General features: G+C 35.1%; 1 pseudogene; it reads right to left on the reverse strand.

Annotated features, from left to right (window-relative positions):
- RPL36AP26 (ribosomal protein L36a pseudogene 26) lies at window positions 2441-2837 on the reverse strand (annotated as a pseudogene).

A 3138-nucleotide genomic window follows, 5' to 3' on the forward strand; every position in this document is an offset into this window, starting at 1 on the left:
AGATGAATTAATATAGTGAAAGGAAATAATTAGATATATCAAATGACGTACATACAATTGTATCTCTGAAGTGATACTTATTATATTGAAATATGTCAAACAATAAAAATGGATTAAATAAATTATGGTAAATCATGATAAGTACAGCCTATTAAAAATCATTTTCTAAAATAATAGAGAATATGAAAAATCAATCATGATATAATGCTGAGAAAGAAAGCAGGTTACAACCATCTGATTCAAACACACTCACACCATACATGTTTTGTTGTATTTATTATATATATATTTGATTTCAAAGACACACTCAAAATGACAACAATTTGAGCTTATTAATACTATCTCTAGTTGGTGAGATTAGTGGATATTTGTATTGTTTCTAACAGTTTCAAAATAGTTTTATAATTGTTTATAGTGAATGTGTACACTTTATTATCAGGAAAATGACTTTGTTATTTCTAAATATTTAAAAGACGTCCTATATATTAGAAAAAAATCTGTAGTGGCTGAAGTCAACTTTTCACATGTTAAATAAGTCCATTACGTATAGACACCATCATCACGTAATTATTCATTGGCCAGCAGCTGTGTTAAAGGCATTGATTCTCTTTAATGAATCTTTGCCTTTGAAACTATTGTTTCTCTTTCTAAATAACATCCATTACTCTAAAATTGTATTGTTGTGCTACCTCCAGTTTGGCACTAATCTGAACCAACTCAAATGTGAAGGATTCAATGGTCTGCCTCTGCAGTAAGGTGAAGCATATGGCGTGCATTACACTTAAGGTCAAGAGTTTATACTGGCTGGTTGGTAGTATCTGGGGGTATAAACCAGGGTGTTATCTTGGACAAATATAGTTATTTAATAGTTTGAATTATGGTAAATTGAAACCAATTCTTCTCCCATGTGTAAAAGTTGAGACTGGGGCAGGGACATTTTTGGGTTTTTTGCTATGATAGGGTCTAATCTTTAGTGGGAGTCAGAATGGCAGCAAGTGTTCTCAAATGAAGGGATGACAAGGAAAAGTTCAGAGTATCACATGACACCTTCTATTACCTATGAGGCACGGGCTGCTGCAGTGCTAAAGCACAAGTTTACAGAGTTTCAGGGTCTTGAGATTTTTACACCAAATTTCAAACAAGACTCATAGTGTTACTTTTGCTCCTGAGTTGATACCATTTTGCAAAATACAAATATTTAACTAACAATCCAAAAATAAGCACATTCAAATTTCTAATACATAACCAAAGAAATAGTTTTTCATTAATACTAAAAATATTGCATGAAAAAAACACAGTTTAACATCCGTTTGTAGTAAATATCCTCTTCCTCTCCCTATCCCTATCCTTATCTTCCACCCTCTTATTCACTTACCTCTTCTCTCTCTCTCTTTCTCTGGCAAATGACTTAGATACTGTTATTGATGTCTCTAATATGAAAATACTCTTGGCATAATGAGAGCTTAAACTGTACTTAAAGTCCACTGAAATGTAAAGTTAAAAACAAATCTTAGACTCAGATGGAAGCGACTTTAGAGATCAACTGATTCAATCCTCTTTATTTAAAAAGAAGAATTCAGGGGCTATTTGTAGCATATGAATGATCTATAAAGTCACAAGTTAAATTAGAAATTAGTAGTAATTTGTTAAGAGGCTGTGACAAAATTTAAATTTCACATAGTCAACAAAACTGATATAATTACAAAGTTAATTTAGCTGTTAATATTTTGACCCAAAATTTCTAAGTGACCTCAGTTAATACATATTTATATCTAGGAAGAACTAATTTGAAGATTGAGAAAAATGGAGTACCCTAATTCATATCAAAATATTTATATCAATATTAATATTTTATTGTTCCATTAACTGTTTTTCTTTTTTTCTTTTTCTTTCTTTTTTTTTTTTTTTGAGTCATGGTCTTGCTCCATCACCCAGGCTGAAGTGGTGCAGTCTCAGCTCACTGCAGCCTCAAACTCCTGGGCTAAAGCAATTCTCCCACCTCAGCCTCCAGAGTAGCTGGGACTACGGCCACATGCCATCACACCTGGCTAATTTTTCAAATGTTTTGTAGAGAGCAGGTCTCATTATGTTGCCCAGGCTGGTCTCGAACTCTTGGGCTCAACTAATCACCTCAGCTTCCCAAAGTGCTGGGATTATAGGTGTGAGCCGCCATGCCTGGCCAATAATTTTCATTTAAGGAAAGTAAACAGCAAATATTTTAAATTGGCTATAAATTATTATATTATCTCAAAGTCCCATAATTCACTAAGGCATCAGTCATTCTTATACTTTAGAATAACTTTTTAGTTCATGCCATGAGAAACCAAATATAAAAAACATTTTCTCATAAAATAATTAGCCTATACACTAGGAAGAATTTGATCAATGATGTTCATTGAATATATATAGTTTTTTCTTTTTTCTTTTCTTTTCTTTTTTTTGAACATAAACTCAAGATTTTATTGTCTTCATAATAAAAGATGACGCTTAGAACTGGATCACTTGGCCCTTTCTCTTATTATCTCCTCCCAGTTCAAAATGCTTGCATCTTTTAATAGGCAGCATTCTCTTAGATCTGCAGTTGGGCTCAAGGCACTCAAGCCTTAGGACAATCTTCTTTGTAGCTTTAGCCTTTTTCTGGAAAATCAGCTTGGTTTGCCCACCATAGCCACTCTGCTTCCTGTCATAACGCCGCTTTCCATGGGCATACAGATAATCCTTGCCCTTCTTGTACTGTGTCACTTTATGGGGTTGGTGCTTGCCACACTTCTTACAGAAAGTCCGGCGGGTTTTAGGAACGTTAACCAGGCTTCCGTGAGTGCTATCGGCACGGAAAGCTTTTATTTTTTTATTATTTTTTTAATTTTTTATTTTTTAGATGGTGTCTCACTCTGTAACCCAAGCTGGAGTGCAGTGGCGCGATCTCAACTCACTGCACCCTCTGTCTGCCAGGCTCAAGCAATTCTCACGCCTCAGCCTCTCGAGTAGCTGAAACTAAAGGCACACGCCACCACACCCAGTTAATTTCTTTTGTATTTTAGTAGAGACGGGATTTCACCATATTGCCCGGGGTGGTCTTGAACTCCTGAGCTCAGGCGATCTGCCCACCTCGGCCTCCCAAAGTGCTGGGATTACAGG

The sequence above is a fragment of the Homo sapiens genome, chromosome 7 (assembly GCF_000001405.40).
Source record: "Homo sapiens chromosome 7, GRCh38.p14 Primary Assembly".
Lineage (NCBI taxonomy): Eukaryota > Metazoa > Chordata > Mammalia > Primates > Hominidae > Homo > Homo sapiens.